Source organism: Homo sapiens, chromosome 3 (genome assembly GCF_000001405.40).
Source record: "Homo sapiens chromosome 3, GRCh38.p14 Primary Assembly".
Lineage (NCBI taxonomy): Eukaryota > Metazoa > Chordata > Mammalia > Primates > Hominidae > Homo > Homo sapiens.
Genome location: NC_000003.12, coordinates 44,994,965 through 45,019,763, shown reverse-complemented (window position 1 = coordinate 45,019,763; position 24,799 = coordinate 44,994,965). Strand labels below are relative to the sequence as shown.

Here is a 24,799-nt window from a genome sequence, read left to right as displayed (position 1 = left end):
TTGTAATAATGCAAAAATAGAATCACCCAAGGCAATTGGTAAAATAAATAAATAATGAATTCTCTCTTGTGAATAGAATATTGTCCTGTGTCATATCTGTGGGTGTGAAAAGTGCTATTTCATTAAATGTAAACATTTAAAGTACATCTCTATTTTTCGTAACCTGGTTTGGGCATTTCATCATTTTTTTATTGCTTCAGTGGTCCTCAAAAAATGCAAACTGGCCAGAAGCGGTGGCTTATGCTTATAATCAAAATCCCAGCACTCTGAGAGGCCAAGGCAGGAGGATCAATAGAGGCCGGGCATTCAAGACCTGTCTGGGGAACATAGGGAGACCCCATCTCTACAAAATAATAATAATTTAAAAAAAGCCAGATGTGGTGGCATGCACCTGTAGAGCCAGGTACTCTGGAGGCTGAGGTGGAAGGATCACTTGAACTCAGGAGGTTGAGGCTGCAGTGAGCCATGATCACACCACTGCACCACTCCAGCCTGGATGACAGAGGGAGACCCTACCTTTAAAAAAAAAAAAAAAGGGCAGGGGTTCAATAACTCTTGATCTCTGAGTTAATAAGCAGGTTAGAAGAGGCCATCTAGTCTAACCACCCCTCGATGTGGGATGTCCCTTTCCATTGACCCTGTCAGATGTCTCCATATGTTGCTTAAACCCTTCCAGGAACAGGAAGCTCATTACCTGAAAAGCAACTAGTTTCATCGTTAGACACTTGGCTTGTCCTCAGGATCCCCCTGTGGTGGGGCAGGTTGGCCTCCGGGAAACCACCCCATGGTTCCTAGTGCTGGCCTGTGGAGCAGTCACATGAGAGGCCAGCCTGTCCTTCTTTGACTGTCCTTTCTCCATGTTCCGTTCCTTTTTTCTTCTCAATGGATCCTCTACAATATGGTTCCTGGATGCTACAGATTTCAATCTACTTCAATCTTCCAGAGAATCCTCACTGCATAAAACTGTGCTTGTTATGGTCTTCATTGTGGTGCAGATCCCAGAACAAAACTTGCTTTCACGGGCCTTCCTCTGGGCCAGGGCAAGTGCCTCCTGTGAGCAGACTAGACCCTCTATTCAGGAAGCCACAGATTCATGGGCTCTTTGTAGCACCTGGGCCTCATTTGTTGCCACTGTTGAGTTTATGGCCATTAAATATCCAGATCCTCTTGTCCACCCCCAACTCTCCCTGGCCAGGTGTGGACTGCCATTGCAGCCACCTGCAATGGATTCACCGATAGCCCTGGTGGAGCCAATTTTACCTTCTACATATGGAAGATGATATCAGTTTCATCTTCCTTGCATTAAAGATCTGCTGACACTGTCCACAAGACCTCAACTGGCCCATGGCGCGGCAAGTGGGGGTGGCTTCAGCCAAGACAGTGATGCTGCATTAATGTTCATGAGCGACCCCAACCCTCAAGGAAGTGTCTGTTCACTAACACACCACTCTCACAGCCCAGTCTTTTCATACTAATCTCCCTGTACAAAGAATGATCTTAATAACAAAACAGGCAAAAAAAATCAGAGGAAGAGAGCTCTAAAGGCATATTTCAGCTTTCAAGGTTTTTTTGTGTGTGTGGTGGTGTTGTTTCTTTTCTCAAAGCTGCTGGAAGTCTCAGTTATACAAAACAGGCTTTGGTCACTCCACCCATATTAGCCCGAATAACATGCAAACTTCTGGCCCACCATGGAGCCATTCCAGCCCCCTACCCCACCCGCAACCCTCACCCGGCACAGATGTTTCCTTTTAGTTCCACTGGCCCCATGTCAACAGAAATGTGGCCCGGCTATAACAGAGGCAGAGAACTTTCCACATGCCCTTCAAAGGTAAGAGCATATAGACAGCCTGGTGCAGGGGCTCACACATGTAATCCCAACTCTTTGGCAGGCAGAGCTGGGAGGATTGTTTGAGCCCAGGAGATGGAGGCTGCCGTGAACTATGATCATACTACTGCACTCCAGCCTGGAAAACAGAGCAAGACCCTGTCTCTAAGAAAAAAAAAAAAAAAAACTTTGTTGGCCTAGTACTCTGTCATTCATTCAAGTATTGGCTCTGTCCCTGTGTACCGGGCCCTGAGTTAGGTAGGTCCTAACTCAACCAAATCTTAGCTCTCAAGGGGCTCACAGTCCTTGTTGTTTTATCCTTAAAGCTCTGTAGTGTGGCAGTGGAAAGAGAATGGAGTCCCGAGTTCCAAATTTGGTTGAGATACCTGGCACTTGTGTCGTTTTGGATGAGTTACTCAAGACCAAACTCCTCTTCTGTAAAGTGGGGTAATAATCTCTACCCTGCTTGCACATGGGATTCTTTCAAGGAGCAAACTGAGGTCTCGCATGGGAGACAGCTGAGCAACCTGCAAGGTTGTGGGAAGGAGGAGGGGTGGTCTGAGCCACCACGCTGTCCCAGTGTGTCAAGGAGCTTGATAGCCTCTTTCCACACCTCGATTCCTTCCACTCCAAGGGACAGTAACTTAATCACCTGATTTGTAACTTTGGGAATAATAAACTGGGCATGCACTTACCTGATGCCCTCAGCTATAATAGTTCACACAAGAGGAGAAAAACAGATAGCCCTATAGAATGCTACAGGAGATTTCAATCTTCTTTAGCTGAAACTCCCTGACTTCCCATCATGTCTGAGAATTTGGCAAATATAAACCCAGCTGTGTGTTTAGGGATCTTTGAGTTTCTAAATCATCACACTATCCCTACACAGCTTTGCTGGAGGTTTTGCAGGTTTCCCTTTCCCCGGTAGAGTTCCTCTATGTTCCCAAGCCTGATTCTTATTCCACGTCCAGAATCTGCAAATGCCCCCAGGGAAGGAAATGCCAGTGACAGCCTGCTCACTTCAGAAAGTCTCCCCCTTCTCTGGAATTTTAGGCCATGAAATCCTCTTTACTTCCAGAGCTTCCCAAAATCTTTAATGATATGACTCTTGAAATGCATTCAGCATTTTTAGCTGCAGCAGCATGAATGGTGGTCCACCATGACCTACATATCCTACCCAGAACTGAAGTCAAAACACTTGTTGAACACCTCCCTTGGAAAATGTCCTCTGATGGGCATTAACACGATTCCCGACTATCTGCGCTTTTTTTGGCCCATTCCCACAGGTCCATACAAATCCCTTTTCTCTGATCATCCCATCTTACTCCTTTCAGGCCCTTGTCCAACTAGCCAAGTTACTCCCTACTATCCGGGAATCCACGTGTACCCTTATCCCTTTGTGCAAACTTAACAACCAAGTGCACTGGCTGCACTCAGTTCTCTCACTGCTGTCCTGCAGGGCTGTAATGCAGGAGCAGTCCCTTTGGGGCACACATCAATATAGAGAACCAACTCATCCACAAGGCAGACCTGGGGTTTTCCTCTTCCAGTAGCTGGCTGCAGGAGTCCCCTCCCCCATGAGGTCATAAGTGTGGATGAGAGGCACTGGCGAACAGGGGTGACAGACGAATCTGGGCTACCTGGTATATTCCTTGGTTGTGCCCACTGAACTGCTCAGGCCTAATCCTGAATGTACATTTTCATGTTGCATGGATTGTTGCTGCACCCACCCAAACTTATGACCTGGTGGGTCTGACAATAACCAGCATGATGGGTGGCTCAGGTCACTTGAGGTCCCAGGGTTGGGTATTCAGTCTCTAATTGGGCCCAGTGGCAAGCCAGAAACTTCTTTTCAAACTCACTCATTTGGAGGTGAATAGCTTTCCACCACATGGCCTTGCTCCAGAATCCTAGGGTCTGTGCTACAACGTTCCTGTTGGGCCTGCCAGAAACTACACAGCACCCTTACCTGCCCCAGATAGCACTAGCTCCGTTGGAATTTCTGGGTCACATGGAGCAGGAGGGATGCTTGTAATGCAGCTTAAACAGGCTTCAGAGTCCTGTCTTATTCTGGACTCCCATTCACAACTGGTAGGTTTGTGAATTACTCAATAAATGCATTGAGACAGCATTCTCAAGTACAGCATTCTTGTCTCCAAAATCCAGAGGCCCAACAAGTGCTGTACTTCTCAGTGAGGGTAGTGGGGATGAGGGTGGGTGCAAGGTTCAAAATCTACCACCTTAGAGGGGGTATCTCTCAGAATGCCCCACACCACTGGATACCTAAAAACATTATCAGTGTGGTGGTCTCCTTAATCTTCATGGGGTTTATTTCCCACCCTCTCAGGCATGTGTCTTTTACTAGGACTTCCAACGGCTTTCCACGTCCTATGTACTAGATCTAATAAACATGATTTTATCAACATAAATAGATCAGCGCGATGGCCCTGAAGATATCACTGTGACAAAAAGTAGGTGATTAACATAGACCGCTGACAAGACACTGAACACATTTTGCAGTCCTTCCACATAAGAGATCTGCTTTTGACCCTTCTTGTTAATGGGGATTAAGGAAGAATTTTCCTAACTTATAGCCACATACGAAGCATTGGAGGCTGTGCTGATTAATCTTAGTGAAGATACTTCATCCAACAAAGCAGTGGAAATTGGAGCTCTCTCGTGTGTTTGGTGGTCATCTACCATGATTCACCTGGCTTTTACAGGGGCCACAGAGATAAGATAAATGGCAATGAGGCGGGGACAACTACCCTTGCATCCTTAAAGTCTTTGATGTTGGTCCTAATCTCTGCAATTTCTCCCAAGATCCAATATTGTCTCTGATTTATTATCTTGGCCAGGGAAGGGAGGCAGTTTCCAACCTTGACCCTTCTTACCATTGTGGTTTTCATTCCATCCCATTTATGACATCTCAATTGTACCACATCCATCCCACCTACACATTTGGGGAAGGAAATTATCCCAGGACCTAATGACCATTGTGAGCCAGACTTACTTGTACCATCCATTTATTACCTAGCCTCCATCCCCCATCCCCTTTGACTGGAGAGCCTTGGTGGCATTTCAGGTCTCCTAATACAGGCATCAAGTCAAAACCCAGATTCAAAAGGCTTCAAATCACCTTTCCTCAATGCTGGTATTCCAGACTGGAGAACTATTATTGTAGGTGCTGATGGTGATATTACAGGATTCTTATTTAAAGACACCAACCTCCCTCCTGTCAATGGACTTTGATCTGTGAACTGGCTTACGGAAACTGGGTGAAGGACTGGAATTTCCCATTATAGTGGTTGACATAAGCTTTTTATGCTCCAATTATTATTATTTTTAATTTTGACAAGTTGAGTAAAATCCTGATTGGCTGCCCATGTCTTAACCCTCAGAACACATAATCTATTAGCTACGGTCTGACTGCCGTAGAGGCAGAGGCGAGGCTGAGGACAGAAGGTAATCCATCAGAGGCATCTAGCAATGCATGGAACATTGTTTCCCCACTAACTAGCAGTTACTTTATGGCCATTATTTGGGATGTATAAATAACACTGGGATAAACTCCTCTGTATTAATGTTTCCACTCCCCTTGTATCATAAATTATTTACTTTGATTACATGCCCAGAAGTAGAATTACTAGGTCAAAGGGCAAACATTTTTAAGGCTTTTTGTTGAGAAGGAGTCTCGCTCTGTAGCCAGGCTGGAGTGCAGTGGCGCGATCTTGGCTCACGGCAACCTCCACCTCCTGGGTTCAAGCAATTCTCCTGCCTCAGCCTCCCAAGTAGCTGGGATTACAGGCGTGTGCCACCATGCCAATTTTTGTATTTTTAATAGAGATGGGTTTCACCATGTTGGCCAGGATGGTCTCGATCTCTTGACCTCATGATCCGCCCACCTCAGCCTCCCAAAGTGCTGGGATTACAGGCGTGAGTCACCACACCCGGTCTTTTAAGGCTTTTAATGCACACTGCCAGATTGTTTTCCAAAAAGTCTGGAATAGCGAAGACTTATTCTCTACTGGCAGTTTGTATGTTAGACAACTGGCTTTACTGAGCAAACAAACTACTGTTAATATTCTAAACTCGGCCAGGTGCTGTGGCTCACGCTTGTAATCCCAGCACATTGGGAGGCCGAGGCAGGCGGATCACAAGGTCAGGAGATCAAGACCATCCTGGCCAACATGGTGAAACCCTGTCTCTAATAAAATAAAAAAAATTACCCAGGTGTGGTGGTGCACGCCTGTAGTCCCAGCTACTCAGTAGGGTGAGGCAGGGGAATCGCTTGAACCCGAGAGGCAGAGACTGCAGTGGGTGAGATCACGCCACTGCACTCCAGCCTGGCAAAAGAACGAGACTCCGTCTCAACAACGAGAAAAAAATCTAAACTCATGTCCCAGTGCAGTGGCTCATACCTGTAATCCCAGCACTTTAGGAGGCCAAGGCAGGAGGATTGCTTGAGGCCAGGAGCTCAAGACCAGCCTGGGCAACATAGTGAGACCCTCATTTTAAAAAAATAATTTGCTGGGCATGGTGGCATGCCTGCAGTCCCAGGAAGGTGGGAAGATCACATGAGCCCAGGAGTTTGAGGCTGCAATGAGCTATGATTGCACCATTGCATTCCAGCCTCGGTGACAGAGTGAGACCCTATCTCTAAGAACAAAGAAAAGAAAAAAAATTAACTCGTGATTTGGAAGACTAAAGAATCAGAGACAAAAACCCACTTGAATATTATTTAACATTGCATTTCTTATACTCCGCCCTTACTTTGACCAACTTCAATGTTCTTCTACCTAATGTTTATTTAAAGACCACTAAAGACAGCTGTGGCTCTGCTGGATCAAACAGGTCTGTCCCAGGATAATATTTTTCCAAGTCTTTGCCAGTCTCTGTCTTCAGTTTTCTCTTCTCTCACTCTGACAGTTGCAACAATCAGATCTTTCCAATAAATGCCTCTCCTGGAGAGTCCCTGCTCATATGGTGTTTTGTTTCATTTGCAATATACGTATATTACATGTAGGGGTGGCCTTCAGGGAAAGGTATGGGGTGGCTAGAAACAGATTCCACCATCTTTTTCTCTTCTTTCTCCATTTTTACTGGAAGTGCTTAGCCAGCCATCCAAGCTGGTAGCTGCTTGTCATACCACTGGCATGGCAAAGCCTCATCTGTCTGTCTGAAGGGAAGTGAAGCAGAGCTGAGTCTGACATATATGACAGTACCCATTCTAATTTATGCATCTCAAAATGATCCACTGGAATCAACCATCAAAAGCAAATGCTTCTAAACTTTATTCACACTCGAGTTGCATCTCTGCGCCACCACTGCCAATGTTTTGTCATGTCACGGGCAGTCAACCAGGAGCAGGGAAGGAGAGACCAGGCTGATTTCTGCCTTGTTGGGAACACTGTCATGGTGCCTGTAGATAGTCACTGAAGAAACATAAAAGATGAAAACCCAGGCTATGCTCTCAACAGGGCAGAAGCTCCCCCATTAAGCCCAAGTCTAGGCAGCTGCTTCTCTCCACAGGGATGGACCTGGCCTTGCTGGGAGGAACGCCCACACCAGGACCTCTGGAAGCAGTCCCAAGGGCTTCAGCTCACATTATGTTCTTTCCATTTGGTGATAAATTCCTAACGCCTTACCCCATTTGCTAACTGGAATGCAGAGAGCAAATGCCACGGTTGAAACGCTCTCCTTCGTGAATCAGCTCCTTCCCCAGGGTGTTTTAAGATTTAGGAGTTTCAGTTCCCCTAGAAAAAAAAACAAAGGCTGCTCTACACATGAAGAGACTTAATTTTAACACACTGCACAGTGAGACTACAGGCTTATAGGAAGAGCCTTCTGGGCCAGCAAGCATAGTCTTCCTTTCAATGCTGAGAGCATGAAGGCAGCTGAATTATCAAATGACAACATCTTGAAAGCTGCCTTCTTAATGCTGACAAAACAAAATCTTAGGAAACACCAGGGAGTGGTTATAAAACACAAAGCAATTTCAAAACAAGAGTGATAAGAAAGGATGGCTAAGGGCCAAAGTGGCTGCCACTAAAGCCCCTGAACCTAGGGAATTCCATTCGGATCTCTTGGAGGGCAGGAAGTCAGAGCTGGACTTTCCCAGGATTTGGGATGGCTAACCAGACAGACAGACGCCCTGGGTGTGTACCTGCAGCAGAGTGCCTCCTCTTTTTTCCTCTCCCAGAACCACCCAAATACACAAGGTGAATGAACTTTTCTTTGTGATTCTTATTTTTAAAGTTCTTCAAGGGGAAAAAAATTCACAAAATACATATCATAAGCATTTCCTGTAAACCAGTTTCTGTCAGGTCTTTACTCCAGCTTGTGGGGGTCTCCCTTGGTGGCAGAGCTCTGGATTTGTCTGCCACTCACTAGATAAGGGCCAGACCCAGATGGGTCACTGAATGGTGCCTTGGCTTCAACTGAAGAACTCTAGACATACCAAACCAGACCAGAAAATAGCCTTTAATTTTACATGTACAAATGCTGCTGTAAATTCGTAACAGCGAAGAAAAATATATACGAACCGGTTTAAAAGGAAAAGTAAAAAACAATCCACAGTTGAGCAGTTGATGTGCAAATCATCCCAGGAATCCAACTTTCTGTCTCTTGGGCCCCAGGCTTTCTTCCTTGTGCACAACACTCTGCAAGGAGGCATGCAGTACCTTGCCCACACGCTTGCCAGTCTGTGGAGAAGGGACGGGAGAGAGCACACACCCCCTTGTAAGGCACACACACTCTGACCAGAAAAGCATTCCTTTCTGCCAGCTAGTCTTTCTGACATTGTACACATTCCATCTGCCTTAGAGGACTTTTATTTAATTAAAGCAAATTAAAACAAAAACCACAGACCCCAACAACATAATAAATTTTGTAAAAATCGTCATATCAAAAAAATAAAAAAGAGAGACAAACACCAGCCCCCACCAGGCAACAAACAGAGAGCAGCAAAGCCTGCCCTGGCCATTAGCTCATGCTTCACTATCCTGCTGCCACTGCAACAAGCAACAAAGTTGTCAATCAAATCTGGGCTTGGGTACAGCCAGGTGACACTGTACTATAGGGAGACCACAGGGAATCCAGAGTCTGTCTGGAGAAGAAACAGATGATGCCAAGGACATTTTAGTAAGCAGCTTCTCATTCACCTCCCATGAAGCCTCTAAGCAGAACTGCTCAGGTGTGACCAAAGTCAGTACCTGGATGGGATCTTTGGTGTTTACTGCCATGCTGAGATGCTAAAGGCAGTGAAATGTTAGAATCGAAACACATCAAGAGGGACAACCCACAAAATTAATAATCAGTCCCTACAGAGCAGACACGAGAGGTAAAAAAAACAAAAACAAAAACAAAACAAAACAAAAAAACTCAATATGGCTGGGAGTAGTGGCTCATGCTTGTAATCCCAGCACTTTTGGAGGCCAAGGCAAGAGGATTTTGCTTGAGGCCAGGAGATCAAGACCAGACTGGGCAACAGAGTGAAACCCCATCTCTACAAAAAACTAAAAATTAGCTGTGCATGGTGGTATGCGCCTGTAGACCCAGCTACTCAGGGGGCTGAGATGGGAGGATTGTTTGAGCCCAGGAGTTCACGGCTGCAGTGAGCTGTGACTGTGCCACTGTACTCCAGCCTGGATAACAGAGCAAGACCCTGTCTCAAAAAACAACCACCACCCCAATATAAAAAAATATATTTTTCTTTATGAAACTGTTATTCTGTCTCTGGGCCCAAGAATCATTTTAAGAATACAAAGAACCAACCACAAATCTCTACCTTATCAGGTCTTTCACATTCCCATAGCAGTGTGGATTCAACTCTGCCACTGGTTCCATTCTCAACAATGTTGAGATAAAAACATCCATGCCTAAATCCCTGCCTCAATCTCTTCAGTTACAGGTGTATCCTCCCCAGAGTAATGACTTGTGTGTCTTCTCCCCTGGCCCCTAACTGTAACATGGGATGAGATCCCAAGTATGACTAAAACTCTTATGAAAAGATGATTTCGATCTAAAAGGCTGGGAAGTGATCACCTCTATGAAATGCAAAGTCAGGGTTAAAGGTCAAAAAGGCCTTCGGGGGCTGGATGTGGTGGCTGATGCCTGTAATCTCAACACTTTGGGAGGCTGAGGCAGGCAGATCACAAGGTCAGGAGTTCAAGACCAGCCTGGCAAACATACTGAAACCCCGTCTCTACTAAAAATACAAAAAAATTAACTGGGAGTGGTGGCGGGCACCTGCAATCCCAGCTACTCGGGAAGCTGAGGCAGAATCACTTGAACCAGGGAGGCGGAGGTTGCAGTGAGCTGAGATCGCACCACTGCACTCCAGCCTGGGCGATAGTGTGAGACTCCATCTCAAAAAAAAAAAGGGCCTTTGGAAAGATTTTCCCATAACATTAGAAAAAGAAAAAAAAGTCTGAATCTGTCAAACAGGGGTACTGATTATTCATATACATGAGGGTGGGGAGAGAGGACAACAAGAGGAGATGAGATGGACAGGATGCCAGGACTTGAGAGGGCCTTGACGCCTCTGAATCCAGATGCAGGAAAGCAACTGCAGAGGCTAGGGGTGGCAGCCTGCACAACTACCCCCAAGGCTCTCAGCTCCACCAAGTCATTTTCCAGATTGCTGCATCCCTGTGTGAGATAAACAGTAAGACAGGGCCACAGAGCTATAGTCCCCTGTCCAGAGTTAGCAGACCTCACTCCCCAAACCTGAGGGGAGGACAAAGCTCAGCTCACTGAACAGAGCTCTGGTTCTGCCATCTATGACAGCCAGGGCAGATCTGGTTTATAAGGCTGACATTGCACAGTGGCTGGGAGCAGGGGCTCTGGACGCACACAGTCTTGGCTTAAATCCTAGCTCCAGTATTTATGAGCAGGGAGGCCTGTAGGCAAGCTGCTTATCCTCTGTGTGCCTCAGTTTCCTCATCTGTAAAAATGAGGACAATAATAATAGTTACCTCACAGGTTGTTGAGGACTAAATGATATATTTAAAGCAGTGAAAACAGTATCTGGCACATAGTACGCACACAATAAACTCCAGCTATTTGTTTACTGTGCTTGTTGTTGCTGTTTAAAGAAATTCTCATAAACTCTCCTGGGAGGGGGAAGAGTACCTTCTAAAACAAGGTTTGACAGTCCCTTGCCTAGAGGACTTTGGTAGAATTTATGCAGCATTAAGTCTGGAGAAATTTGAACTCAGGGTGCTTCATGGAGCACAGAGAATAAGAGCTGCCATTAGCTGAGAACTGATGACATATCAGGCACTGTGACATGTGCTTCTCCTCTACACCTCACATCATCCTAATAACAACCTCAGCAGTGTCTGGGCAGATATTACTATTATCAGTCCCACTTTGCAGATGAGGGGGACTATGGCCCAGAGCCAGGTTTGCAGCCAGGGCAGTACACCCTCACAGCCCATGGTTGGGAACTCCATGCTATATACAGTGCTCATTTTGGCCTTTTAAATAACATGATAAAGAGAGAAAGTAGATGTCATGTTCTTGGATTCTTCAGTATGAAGTCATTGTTTCTAAACACAAAAGAAGAGTGCTTGCTATTAAGCAATGATCTCTGGGCATGTGTGGTGATATAGAGGTTGCAAGAAAGTATGAATAATCAGATCCTGCTAACTCTGTTCCTGGAAGTTCAGTCAGTCAATCAGTCAGAAAGGTGAGGTGGATATAGGGGAAAGAAGGTCTGGGAAACAGGTGAGCAGGACCCTGTCCCTGCCCTGCGGGGCTTCCAGGCCAGTGAGGTGACAGACATGTGGGGCAAACAGTACAGAGAACTGTAGAAGCGCCTTGATGGCTCTGCTAGGGATGAGGGCAACCCAACCCAACTCCAGTGGGTCAGATTTCTTACCATCCCTGCTTGTCTCCATTTAAACACTTCTAGAGCTGTAACGAATTTGGGAGACAGCCACAGTTCAGCCCGTGCTTCCACCTTTACTCACCCACTTCTAGGGACAGGAAGCAGTGAGCCAAGAATTCTATTCCCTCATCAAGTCACAAAGGCCTGCACTTTTGGAGTTACGAGTGGCTCTTTACATTATGAAAGTCCAACAGTCTTATTTAGACACATAGAAATGAGATGGGGGGTACTTACTGAGGACAATTAATGGTTACTGGTAGGCTCCTTACCTCCCAGTCCAGAGTATCCACCCCCACAACCCCCCTTGATTAGGTCAGCAGACCCCTGGCTCAAACCAGCTGTTCCCAAATCTCCAAGTTTGGGGTCAAGGCTGTGAATGGGGAGAATCCCCACGGTATGACCAAGGGAGCAGGAAGCAGCAGGCACCCCGGCCAGGTCCCTGCACCTTCCTCAGAACTAAGGCCTCACCTCCATCATCTCGAAGATGCTCTCTGGGTCCAGGCTGCCCTTCCCCACTTTCCTCATGCACGTCACAACTCCCTTGCTGGTCACCGACACCAGCAAGCTGGCCAGCGAGCAGGCCTCCTCCTGAAGAGTAGCATCCACCACATGCCGATAGCCAATCTGCAAAGGCAGGGTGCGTGGCACACGGTGGGTCACGCAGGCCCCAGAGTCCCACCCCTGATGGCCTCGTGGTGGGAATCTCTACACCAGGCAAAAGTATTTGCACTGGTCATTCCAGGTCTTATTTTAGATTCTGCTCACGAGGAAAACAGCTGAGGGATTGTTCAACAATTCTCACAGGCCACTGTGTGGGTGGTACAATAAAAACACGATATGGAAAAACAGGGCAAGGTGGTTTAAAACTAGAATTCAGAGACCAACCAAGACAAAGGCCACCAAGGCTTTCCAACAGAGGGGCACAAGGGAGAAATTCACACACAAGGCCACATGGACGTTTCACTGATGGCAAGGGGGAATCAAGAGGGTCCATGCTAAGGGACACACTCAAGAACAAGCCAAAGGCTGGGCGCAGCGGCTCATGCCTCCCAGCACTTTGGGAAGCTGAGGAAAATGGAATGCTTGAGCTCAGGAGTTTGAGACCAGCCCAGGCAACATGGCAAGACCCTGTCTCCACCAAAAATACAAAAAAATAGCCAGATATGGTGGTGTGAGCCTGTGGTACCAGCTACTTGGGAGGCTGAGGTGGAAGGGTTGCTTGAGGTTGAGCCGGGGCGGGTGGGGGGGTTGCAGCAGAGGTTGCAGTGAGCCTAGATTGTGCTACTGCACTCCAGCCTGGGCAACAGAGCAACACTGTCTCAAAACAAGGCCGGGCGCGGTGGCTCACGCCTGTAATCCCAGCACTTTGGGAGGCCGAGGCGGGCAGATCATGAGGTCAGGAGATCGAGACCATCCTGGCTAACAAGGTGAAACCCCGTCTCTACTAAAAATACAAAAAATTAGCCAGGCGCGGTGGCGGGCGCCTGTAGTCCCAGCTACTCGGGAGGCTGAGGCAGGAGAATGGCGTGAACCCAGGAAGCGGAGCTTACAGTGAGCCGAGATTGCACCACTGCAGTCCGCAGTCCGGCCTGGGCGACAGAGCGAGACTCTGTCTCAAAAAAAAAAAAAAAAAAAAAAACAAATAAACAACAAGAAAGAACAAGCCGGCTAGGTGCGGTGGCTTATGCCTGTAATCCCGGCACTTTGGGAGGCTGAGGTGGGCAGATCACCCGAGGTCAGGAGTTTGAGACCAGCCTGGCCAACATGGTGAAACACCGTCTCTACTAAAAATACAAAAATTAGCCAGGCATGATGGCACGTGCCTGTAATCCCAGCTATTTGGGAGGCTGAGGCAGAAGAATTGCTTGAACCTGGGAGGCGGAGGTTGCAGTGAGCTGAGATCGCGCCATTGCACTCCAGCCTGGGCGTTGCAGCAAGACTGTCTCAAAAAAAAAAAAAAAAAAAAAAAAAAAAAGCCAAGACCCAACATCCTGCCATCCTGTTGTCTGAACACTTCACCACATCCTGTTCATGAAGTGATTTCAGTGGAATTAAACCTGACCTGTTTAGCTTTATTTTGAGATAATGAATCCTGAGTGGAATTAGCTACAATCCCAGTCAATAGCCAATACAGGCCTCTTTGCACAGCCTGGGGCAGCATTAGTTATATATCACATCAGCCTGATGTTCAGCTCCACAGCCCTCTATGTGAAAACCACTCATGATACCCAAGACCTGCTCCAACCTCCCATTTCATAGGGGGGACAGTGTTCGCCACCCTGCCACTACTCAACCACCCTAGACCCCATAGAGTTGAGGTAATTAAAAGACATGGTGCTTTAGTGAAGCACATGGTATGTGGAAGGAGCTTAACAAACTCTGGCTACTATTACTACAAACACACTCATGGCTCCCAGGACCACATCATATCTTCCAATTAAAAAGAAAAGAAAGAGCTACTCGTGGTAGTGGTTTCTAGTATAACCAAATTATTGGATTTGGGTAAAAGCTACTTCTATATGGTGTGTGGTATTACAACTTCTTAACTTATTAAGTAACCTCAGCAGGTTGGGATTAGAGGAGACCCACACCCACAGGGAAGACAAAAACCATAAAATACAAGTTATACCTTGCACAGAGTGACAATGCAGGGGACATTCTCCACACTTAGTCGTATGCAGTCATAAGGGTCATCTGACAATTCAATGTCCTTCGACCCCTCTTCATCCTCCAAAACTCGAACCCTTGGTATCCTGGAAGCAGAAGCACTAGTAAAATTCCCACTTGGAGGAGGAAAAATAACTTCTTTTTAAGATTGAGAATAGGAGTTGGAATCCCTGTGTCTCACAAGAGAAAGACACGCTATGCCTATTCTTTATCATCCTCATCCCTGTCATCCCTGTCAAAAGCACACAGGAGGCGCCGCAGTGCAATGAGGAAAGGCATCTTTTAGAAAATGATGCTGGGTCAATCAGATATCCCAATGGAAAAAAAAGAATCTCAATCCCTACCTCACACCACACACACGAAGCCATACCAAATAGACCATAGATATAAAAAATAAAAGACAAGACAATAAAGCATTTAGAAAAAAACATCTGCATGACCTTGGAGTAGACAACTATTTCTTGAACAGGATACAGAAAGAGAAAAAAGTTACATATTCAATTATAACATCATGAACTTCTGTATATCAGAAGACATCATTTAAAAACTAAAAATATAATCTGGGGAGATAAAATACTACCTGACAGATTACATAAAGAATTCCTATTAAACAAAAAAAAGACAGCCCAACAGAAAAATGGACAAAAGACTCAAACGTAGAATATATTTGGATGTCTTCATAAAAGAGGCTGTCTGAGTAGCCAATAAACCAAGAAAAGGTGCTCAATTTAAATATCTATTAAAAATGCAAATTAAAACTACACTGTGATACCAAGGCACAACCAAAATAACTATTAAAAAAAAAAACAAAAAAAAAAAAACGCCAGGCATGGTGGCTCATGCCTGTAATCCCAGTACTTTCAGAGGCCAAGGCGGGAGGATCACCTGAGGTCAGGAGTTCGAGACCAGCCTGGCCAAGATGGTGAAACCCCATCTCTACTAAAAATACAAAAATTAGCTGGGTGTGGTGGTGCACACCTGTAATCCCAGCTACTTGGGAGGCTGAGGTAAGAGAATCGCTTGAACCTGGGAAGTGGAGGTTGCAGTGAACTGAGATCACGCCACTGCAGTCCAGCCTGGGAGACAGAGTGAGACTCCATCTCAAAAAAAAAAAGCAAGAGTTGACAAAAATGTGAAACAACCCGGAACTCTTACATACACTGCTGGTGGAAGTGTTAACTGGTAAAACACTTTGTGAAACTGGCAGCATCTACCGTAACTAAAGATAGCCATACCCTATAACCCAGAACACTCCTCCCTAACAGAAATAGAGAAATATGTGCACCAAAGACATGCACAAAATGTTCATGATGCCCATCCCTATTTGTAATAGCCTCAAACTGGAAATGAACCAGATGGCCATCAACAGTAGACTGATAAACAACAGCAGACTGGACAGTAGACTGGATAAACAGCAGACTGGACAAAGTCACACAATGGAACACCATACAGCAAAAAGCAAGCTATGACTAAGGCAGCAACACAGATCTCTCAAAACACAATGCTTAGTGAATGAGGCAGACACAAAACAGAACATAGTATATGATACCATTTATATCAAGTACAAAAGTAATCTATTCTTTTAAGATGCTGGTTATCATCAGTGAGTGTAATTGCATGGGGGTACAGAAGGTGTGGGATGCTTCTGGGGTGCTGGCAACATTCTGTTTCTTCAGCTGGGTACTGAAAAACACATTTAACCTATAAAGTCAATTCACTCCAGGCTGGGTTGGAGGAGCCAGGAAGGAAGAGGTGGTCCATCCAGCTACTGTAATGGAAACAGCATTAGTACTTTTCCCAGTTCCTCTAACAAAACCCCCCATGATTGAGCCCTGCTGGCCATCCATACACAAGGCAACATCTAGATCAGATCAGGGGAGCTTCAGCCAGAGAATGTTGACAAGGGCCAAGGAGTTCTGTAAGGGTCTTCCCCATTTGGAGCCTTCCCATCAGAGGAAGTTCTACTAAGTAATATCCTATTTGAACAAGTTGTCAACCATTTACACACACACATACACACACACACGCACGCACGCACGCACGCACGCACAGTATCTCCCAATTTCCCAACCCTTTGGCTACAACAAGCCTGGGCAGAAGGGCTAAAGAATACCCTCAGGTGGCCTTTACCCTTCTAAAGGACCCTGAATATGCCAATAGTCTCTCCACATACCAGGGGGACTTGATGCCTTAGAGTCCCCATTCCTTGCTGCCTGCAGGGCTGTTCTTGGTCTGAGGATGAGACTATGGCTGTGCCCATGACAGGTGTCCTCCCCTACCTGAGCAGCTGGGTTAACCTTTCTGGTATACAGTTTGGCCAGCAACTCCCCCACAGCTAAACAGCCTTGTCTGGTTCCCAATCTCTCTTTTTGCCTGGGTGCCTATAGGAACCAGCTGGCAGATGGGGAGTCATTTCTGAGGCTCAAGATAAATCAGATGACAGCTTCCTTTCCTTCCCCAACAGGGCCCGAGCACCAGCTACTGCTGTGGGATCTGGCACGCAAGCTCCCACGGTGGCCAAGAGTGCCAGGCTCACATTTCAAATAGTCTCAACAAGGAGCCTAGTGGCACAGCTAGGGGTGGGGGACTCTACAGCTTTCATTCTCAGCAAATATTCCAGCCTGCAATTTTTGTCTGCTCTAAATTACACAGGGAGTCTAAACTCATCATAGAAAAGCTCTAAAAAACAGGTAAATGTTATGTTGGCCAAAATATGAGCACTGAAAAATAATTACAGTGATTACTTGGGGGTACATATTTCCAGACACATTACATATAAGAACTACCAAAGTAAAATACAACAAACCAACAAACAAAAACCAGGATGAGGGGACTGCATTTAGTGAACTATTTTCCATATTAACATGCCTTTAAATAGGCTGCTGTGTGGACTTCAATCCCCTCCATTGTGAAACTCAGGTTGTTTCCAGTTTCTTACCATTACAAAGCAGTGTAATGTTTATTCTAGGATGTGATGAACATCCTAGAATAAACATCTTTGCTCATTTATTCAATTATGTCCTTAGGTTATATCCCTAGAAGTTTCTAATCCTCGTTTTTTAATAGGATCCTCTGTTACCTTAATGTAGGCTCTCTCATAGGATGAACACCCTATCCCACGTATTTACTCATAAATGCTGCAAATTTTCCTCAAAGTACTTGGAGCATAAAAGGGGGAAAGGTCAATCAGTCAGAATAAATGTCAACTCCAAAAAAGCATAGCAACTTGTCCCTTCTACACAACCTGTTTGGAAAGCTGAACCATGTGGAATAGCCATTTCCTCTTCTTAAACCAAAGGGAAGCCTGTTACCCTGCTTTTAGAACACACATGTGTACAATCAAGCAATATGCAAGCACTTACTATGTGTCAGGTACTGTTCATGGTGCTAGGAATATAGGCAAGTACAAAACAGGCAAAATCCTTGCCCCCATAGAGTTCACCCAGTAATAGTATTTGGATAGTTGGCCTGTAGGTGGTGTCTACTCTTCTTGGCTTCTCTGTAGTTTTCTAATATTTTTCTAAATGGTAGGTGTCTATTTATAAAAATAACAATACAAAAAATAAATACAGAATATACGTATATATGTAGTTTTAATTCACGAAATCTATCTTTTCTGGAGTTTAACGTTAGATGTCACCATTTTCAATGTTAAAACCCCCTGTTATCTTCACATATGAGCTACAATAGAAATTTCCTCAGTGTTCCATTACAAGTGTCTGCTCTGGTTCTCCACAGGTTCGCAGAGCTGTTTCTAGGAAGACTTACCTTGTATTGAAGAGAGCAGCCTTTACAGCAATGGAAATGGCATCAAACAAATTTCCACCACATTCCAGAAGCTAAGGGAGACAGGAATTGAAAAAGGAAAAAAAACCAAGCATCACTTATTACTTTAGGTATTACCCCAGTTAAAGGACACTGCTTTTTTTTTTTTGAGACAGAGTCTCGCTCTGTCACTCAGGCTGGAGTGCAGTGGTGCAATCTTGGCTAACTGCAACCTCTGCCTCCCAGGTTCAAGTAATTCTCCCACCTCAGCCTCCCGAATAGCTGGGATTACACGTGTGCGCCACCACCCCCAGCTAATTTTTGTATTTTAGGGTTTCACCATGTTGGCCAGGCTGGTCTTGAACTCCTGACCAAAAGTGATCCGCCTACCTCAGCCTCCCAAAGTGCTGGGGTATAGGCATGAGCCACCACGCCCGGCCAGGACACCGATTTTTTTTTTTCTTTCCCTAAATCTATTCTGTGGTCAAGGACACTGATTTCTAAGAAATGCTGACTGTGTGTTTATAAAATAAAGATAACATGTGGCTTCTCTCCTGGCTAGCCATGCAGTGACTGCAACTCACTGACACAGTCCTTCACCCTAATTACAGGCACTGCCTTGTCATAGCTGTGCTTACGTGGCCCATGCACACAAGGTCACAGTTGGCAGGGCTGTGGTACCAACACTCAGAGGCCATGGCTTGTGGGTGGGCTCCTCTCACAGGCACTTCAGGCAGTTGGGGCTGCCCTGAAGGTGGGACTGATCACCTTTATTTTGCCCCAGATAGCTCCCAATTGTACTCCAAGTGTTACTCTAATCTTTGCTAACATATGCCTGGCCTCCAAACAAGGAGAAAACGGTGGCTACTGATGTTGCGGCTGCTACTAGGTTCACATTTACTAGTGTAATTACTTCTCGTATGTAATGATCAATGTATATCTGATGCTCAGACATGAAATACTACATGTTTTACATTACTTATAATGAAGACTAAAGTCTCTCAGACAAGCTTCTGCCCATGAGCGAAAGTGTTGAGTGCACTTACGTATGCTCATCTAGCAGGGAAAATTAGAGCACATTTAACTGGAAGGTGGCATATCCTTCTGTCCTCATTTTAGAGAGGCCTTGGCCTGAGGTTATGGAATAAAGCCGACTGGGCTGCCCCAAATAAGAAAGGTGAGAAGTCACACATAGAAAGAAAAGTCATGTAGTTCTGTTTTTGTTTAGAGTCTATCTCCTCTGCAGTTGAACTGTGAACTCCTAAAGGCTGGGACTCTGTAGTTTTGTTCATCCTTTTATCCCCAGAGCCCAACAGAAGGGGTGCTATGAGGAAGAAGGTTAGTGATTATTTGTGAAAGAACCCATCAAAAGACAGGCTTGTGACCAATCACCCCACCAAAGGTCAGCTGTGTGTTGTTAGTGCAGCAAAGTTCTAACAGGTTTCCCTCTTGGAGTAAAAACTGATGCCATTAGAGAACTATAAAGAGCAAAGCAAAGTGAAATTTCCATGAAGTTAAATTTTCACTCTCATAAAATAACCGAACTGAGGGGAAAAAAACCAATACTGGAAACAGGTGGGTCATCTGACTGTAATAGGTTTGAAGTAAGTAAGTATGAAAACATGGCAGGGTGCCCAGCAAATATCTGTTTGAACATGGGCTCTGTCTGAGGACTAACCAGACCAGTTGGTAAAAAGAAATTAGGAGGTTTCTTTTCTACTATCTTGCTTCAAGGATTGCTTCACAGATTTCCACCACCTCGCTTCAAACATGGACTCAATCTATTCAGTATATCACCCATCCACTGATGAAAACTATGTGAATGCCAAAAAATGGATCGGCCTCATCAATAATACAATTTTCAAAAATGCTTTTCTAATTCATTAAAAACTTTTCTGAAGATGACAACTTTTTTTTTTTTTAAAGATGGATTCTCACTCTGTTGCCCAGGATGGAGTGCAGTGGCACCATCTCGGCTCACTGCAACCTCCACCTCCCAGGTTCAAGCAATTCTCTTGCCTCAGTCTCCCCAGTAGCTGGGATTACAGGTGGGCACCACCATGCCCAGCTAATTTTTGTATTTTTAGTAGAGACAGGGTTTCACCATGTTTTCCAGGCTGGTCTCGAACTCCTGACCTCAGGGAATTCATCTGCCTTGGCATCCCAAAGTGCTGGGATTACAGGTGTGAGCCACTGTGCCCGGTCAGAAAATGACAACATTTTAAAAGCTCATGTCTTCTTCCAAAATAAGCAAAACCCTTAAAACAAATATTTCAGAAGAAATCCAAATGCCAGGAGTCTTAAAAAGAAAGGTCTACAGATGACAGGGACACAATACACATTCCCCTGGATATTCCTGCGCACCATGTATCCATCCCCTGCTCACTGAAGAGGGCTGCTTCTGAGCTGAGATAATGTCCCAGTAGTCATCAGTTTTGTAAAAGCCTTCCCTAATAGAACAGGCTTCTGTTGCTTTGACTTTAACTGACTGAATCAAAAGCACATCAGTCCCCATCACTGGGCCATCCTACAAAACTACAAGTGTGCATGAATACTGAGGATGAACAAAGGATTACAAAAGGACAAATGCAGTGTGCCACACACTTGTGTCTTAACTTTCTCTAGTGGCGGAGGGGAGGGGACATAAACTTCTTCAGACACAGGATGGAACTGGAGAGTTCACGTCATGGGGCTGCACCTCCCTGGGCAACTATGAAGCCTGCCTCTACCATCCTCAGTAAGGACTACAGGCTGCCAGGTCCCACCTTCTCAAACCCAGGACCTGAAAAATTGCCAACTTAGTAGGAATCATACTACAAGGTACATCCCACTTATCAGAGATGGAAAAAAAGCAAACAGATTTGTAATTTCATTATTTTTACCTATTAGTGGTAGCATTGCAACAGTAACCTGCTAGATAATGGTTACCACTGCTACCTTTTGACTATGCTCCATCCAATATCAAATTAATTTTAAAATATCTAGAAAACTCCACCCTGTCTCAATAGAGCCAACATGCAGAGCCAGGCTGTTTCTTTTCATGAAGTTCACCATCAGTTCACAGATCTCCTTTATCTGCACATTCATTAAAGAATCTATTTGGCCAATAGCTTAGCTTTTTGTCCTTCATCTGAAGTGGAAGATGTAGTTGCTAATCTCATGGTTCAAAACAGACCCAACAAGAGCCTATATATAAACAAGCAACCAACTGCTACGTGATTATACAAAAGCAAAATTAAGGCCAGGCACGGTGGTTTGCACCTGTAATCCCCGTAAGGCCAGGCACGGTGGTTTGCACCTGTAATCCCCGCACTTTGGGAGGCCGAGGCAGGTGGATCACTTGAGGTCAGGAGTTCCAGACATGCCTGGCCAACATGATGAAACCCCATCTCTACTAATAATACAAAAATGAGCCAGGCATGGTGACATGTGCCTGTAGTCCCAGCTACTCAGGAGGCTGAGACATGAGAATCGATTGAACCTGGGAAGCAGAGGTTGCAGTGAGCCAAGATCACGCCATTGCACTCCAGCCTGGGTGACAGAGCAAGACTCCATCTCAAAAAAAAAAAAAACAAAAAAACAAAAAAAAATTAATTAGAGCTACACAGAGAAGTTACTGTCGAGTGCCAAAACCTGGGTAGAGGAGTATTTGGGAGGCAAAGTACAAGGGAAGAAATGACGGGCTGGACTCAAAAGACTCCCAGGGGAGTAGACTCTGTGTGGGAGGAGGCAGGGCCTCTGGGGCCTCACCCAGGAAACTAAAGGCAGGCACGTTCTGAGGTGTTTAAAAGAAACAATGGCACAGTGAAGTCAAACCAGGTGTTCACATCATACAGACCTGGCTTTGAGACTCAACAGCACTACTCACAAGCTGAGACCTCTTGGGCTAGTTGATTTACCTCTGTCTGTCTTAGTTTCCTCACTTATAAATGGGAAATATAACAGTGTCCATTTGTAACAGGTTTATAAGGTTTAAATGAAAATGCATGTAAAGAGCTAATCATCCTTCCACACAGAATGTACCAACCTGCTTAAATTCTGCCCATGAACTCTGTCTGGCACCATCCAGAGACCATCTCTTGTTTTACTCTTCCTGGACAATTTTTATGGGCAATTTTAGGTGCTATCATGATATGACTATAATTTTATCATAGAATGGCATTATATATATGCTGCTTACATCTATGTTGTATTTAATTTTTAAAAAAATTATTATAGGAGACCATCTTTTCCCAACTAATCCCACCCTATAAGTTGAAAGCATCCACCTGAAGAGGAAAAAAGCACTGGAAGGAAAATAGGCCAACTAGTCTTTCCAACAAAGGTAGAATGTGGCCAGTACAGCACGATGATACTCACCAGCACATCCACATAGAGAACCCAGCAGTGCTCCCGAGGACTAATGCAGAGGGTCTTTAAGTCGACACTGCTTTTATTGTTAAATATCCGATAGAGGGTGTTAGCGATCTCGGTGCCAAGGTCATCACCTCCTCTACCTTCAAATTCAGGGGTAGCACTGGCTGAACTATACAAAACAGAAACAAAAAAACTGGGTGAGTCTTTCCAAGTGCAAAAAGCAAAGAGGCAAAGCTTTATTCCAGTTTCCCTGTAGAATGCTGGAAGAGCCAGCTGCTCGACAGAAAGTCACTGAGATGAGGAAAGGATGGCATCTGCCACTTTTCCTGACTCCAGACACATGTAATGAACCAGACCAGCACTGTGACCTGGATTTGTCAGTGTGTGTGATGGGATTTCCCAATAGCATCTAACAGAAGCCATCTTTAGTCAAAGAGAAACAGGAGAGTGATGGTAATGTGAACCTCGGCCGATAATAATTAACTCTCTTATCTTCAGAGTATAATAAATACTCTTCTCTGGCAGGCCTAGGAAACTGAGAGGCCTAGGGAATGAAGCAGTCTGGGTTACAGAGGGGTTTTGTCATATACACCACCTCTAGTTTCACAGCTTTAGAACACACTACGATACTCTCAATATAAAAACCACAATGTAAGTACAATAACCTTTCTGGAATAACTTAAAAGACATGTATGATAGTATGTCAGAGCTTTGTCAGAAACTTTAGATATCACTGTACTGAAGAGAAGGAAAATGAAAGAAAGCAAGGGAAAGATTGTTGGCTTGTAAGTAGTAGGTTACCTCCTTCATTTGATATTTTTCAAGAGAAAAACTTTTTTTTTCCCTTTTTGGCTTCTTGATATTTATGCCCAATAACCTCAACAAAACTAACAGGATTCAACATTAGCCACCCTAAAAACACTGAAGTGTTTAACAGGACATTTCTGAGAGTTTTTGGCTTAATACAAACAAACCCTTAATATGTATATGAGGTAAGTAACATTCTAGTAATTATTTTACTGTAACAGTAAAGGACTAGAAAGGTAAGAAGCCAGTGGTTTCAGCATGGACTCTATAAAATCACATATTAAAGCCTTCTGACCCCTTGCCCATCTGGAAGGCACCCAGCCCTGCACCAGCTACCAGAGACCTAGAGACTAAGTGAGGTGGATGCAGACCCAAAGCCAGCAGTTCCAGTGAGGTAGGGGAGTTTCACCATAGGGAGCAAACAGTGAGGTAGAAGCGGGAGTAGGGGCACAGGAGTGTCAATTAGCATTCAGGTTTAAAGGCGACCTCAAACCTGGGATGAGCAGAGCTGGTCAGGCCAGAGAGGCAGGAAGATTCCAGGCAAAGCAAAACCTGTGTGAACGCCCATGGCAGTGCCCACCCTATTTGTGTAACACTAAAAGAAATCTCACTTAGTAATATAGGTGGAAGAATGAATCCCAAATTAATCAGACTATGTTGTTACATAAAATTTTGCCTCTCTAATTATGTACTCCTCCTTTACCACTGTGAGCCAGCAGAATCCCCTTTAAAGTCCCCAAGAGAGACTTCATTACTGCCATAGCAACCTCGCTGTTCCCTGCCTTTGCTGGACTCAGGCACTGAGCCAAGAAAAGCAGCTCATTTATGGTGAAATAATCAAGTCAACAGGGACCAGGTTTTTACTTTGCACAGCCAGCAAAACACAACCTGTTTCTAATTTAAACACTAAGCAATCAATATTAAGTCCCAGGTCTTAAGTGCTTAAAAATACATCTACAGAGATTTCTGTGTACACAAATCCAGCCAGAGATGCTTACACTCAAAATGTTTACCTTTCCCTGAATGTAGTGGGCACATCCTCCTGGGTGTGACTAATTTCTTTGGGATTAATGCACTAACTCTTCTACAGCCTTGGGAGATGATTTATAGAGCTTCCCAGGTCCAACTGTCTAAATTAATCTACCTATAAAACCATGCATGCCCCTGGCCAGGCGTGGTGGCTCACGCCTGCAATCCCAGCACTTTCGGAGGCCAAGGCGGGTGGATCACCTGAGGTCGGGGGTTCGAGACCAGCCTGACCAACATGTAGAAACCCCGTCTCTACTAATAATACAAAAATTATCTGGGCGTGGTGGCACATGCCTGTAATCCCAGCTACTTAGGAGGCTGAGGCACAAGAATCACTTGAACCTGAGGCAGAGGTTGCAGTGAGCTGAGATCGCACCACTGCACTCCAGCCTGGTCAACAAGAGTGAAACTCCGTCTCAAAATAACAACAACAACAACAAACCCATGCCCCACTG

The 24,799-nt window shown here is 45.1% G+C and overlaps 1 protein-coding gene across 5 annotated transcripts in view, besides 1 other annotated feature; it reads right to left on the bottom strand.

The window, feature by feature from the left end:
- Positions 1–7,095: 7,095 nt before the first annotated feature.
- Positions 7,096–24,799, bottom strand: part of EXOSC7 (exosome component 7) — a 36,425-nt gene continuing 18,721 nt past the window's right edge. For 2 of the 5 annotated variants that reach the window (XM_047447748.1, XM_047447749.1), the window contains 7 exons: positions 22,512–22,677; positions 18,156–18,226; positions 14,350–14,473; positions 12,189–12,344; positions 8,371–8,529; positions 7,474–7,581; positions 7,096–7,260 (listed from right to left, as the gene is read on the bottom strand). In XM_047447748.1, coding sequence (XP_047303704.1) covers positions 8,425–8,529; positions 12,189–12,344; positions 14,350–14,473; positions 18,156–18,226; positions 22,512–22,677 — 622 coding nt within the window. In that variant the 3' untranslated portion in view covers positions 7,096–7,260; positions 7,474–7,581; positions 8,371–8,424. Of the gene's footprint in view, positions 7,582–8,292; positions 8,530–12,188; positions 12,345–14,349; positions 14,474–18,155; positions 18,227–22,511; positions 22,678–24,799 lie in introns of those variants that run through there. The other 3 variants (NM_015004.4, XM_017005930.3, NR_023353.2) reach the window with 2 other exon arrangements.
- Positions 7,551–7,670: an enhancer, noted in NCBI's record as "active region_19773". NCBI's record gives its function as "activates an Ori minimal core promoter by ATAC-STARR-seq in GM12878 lymphoblastoid cells {active_cell/tissue: GM12878}" and the evidence as "EXISTENCE:reporter gene assay evidence [ECO:0000049][PMID:35858748]".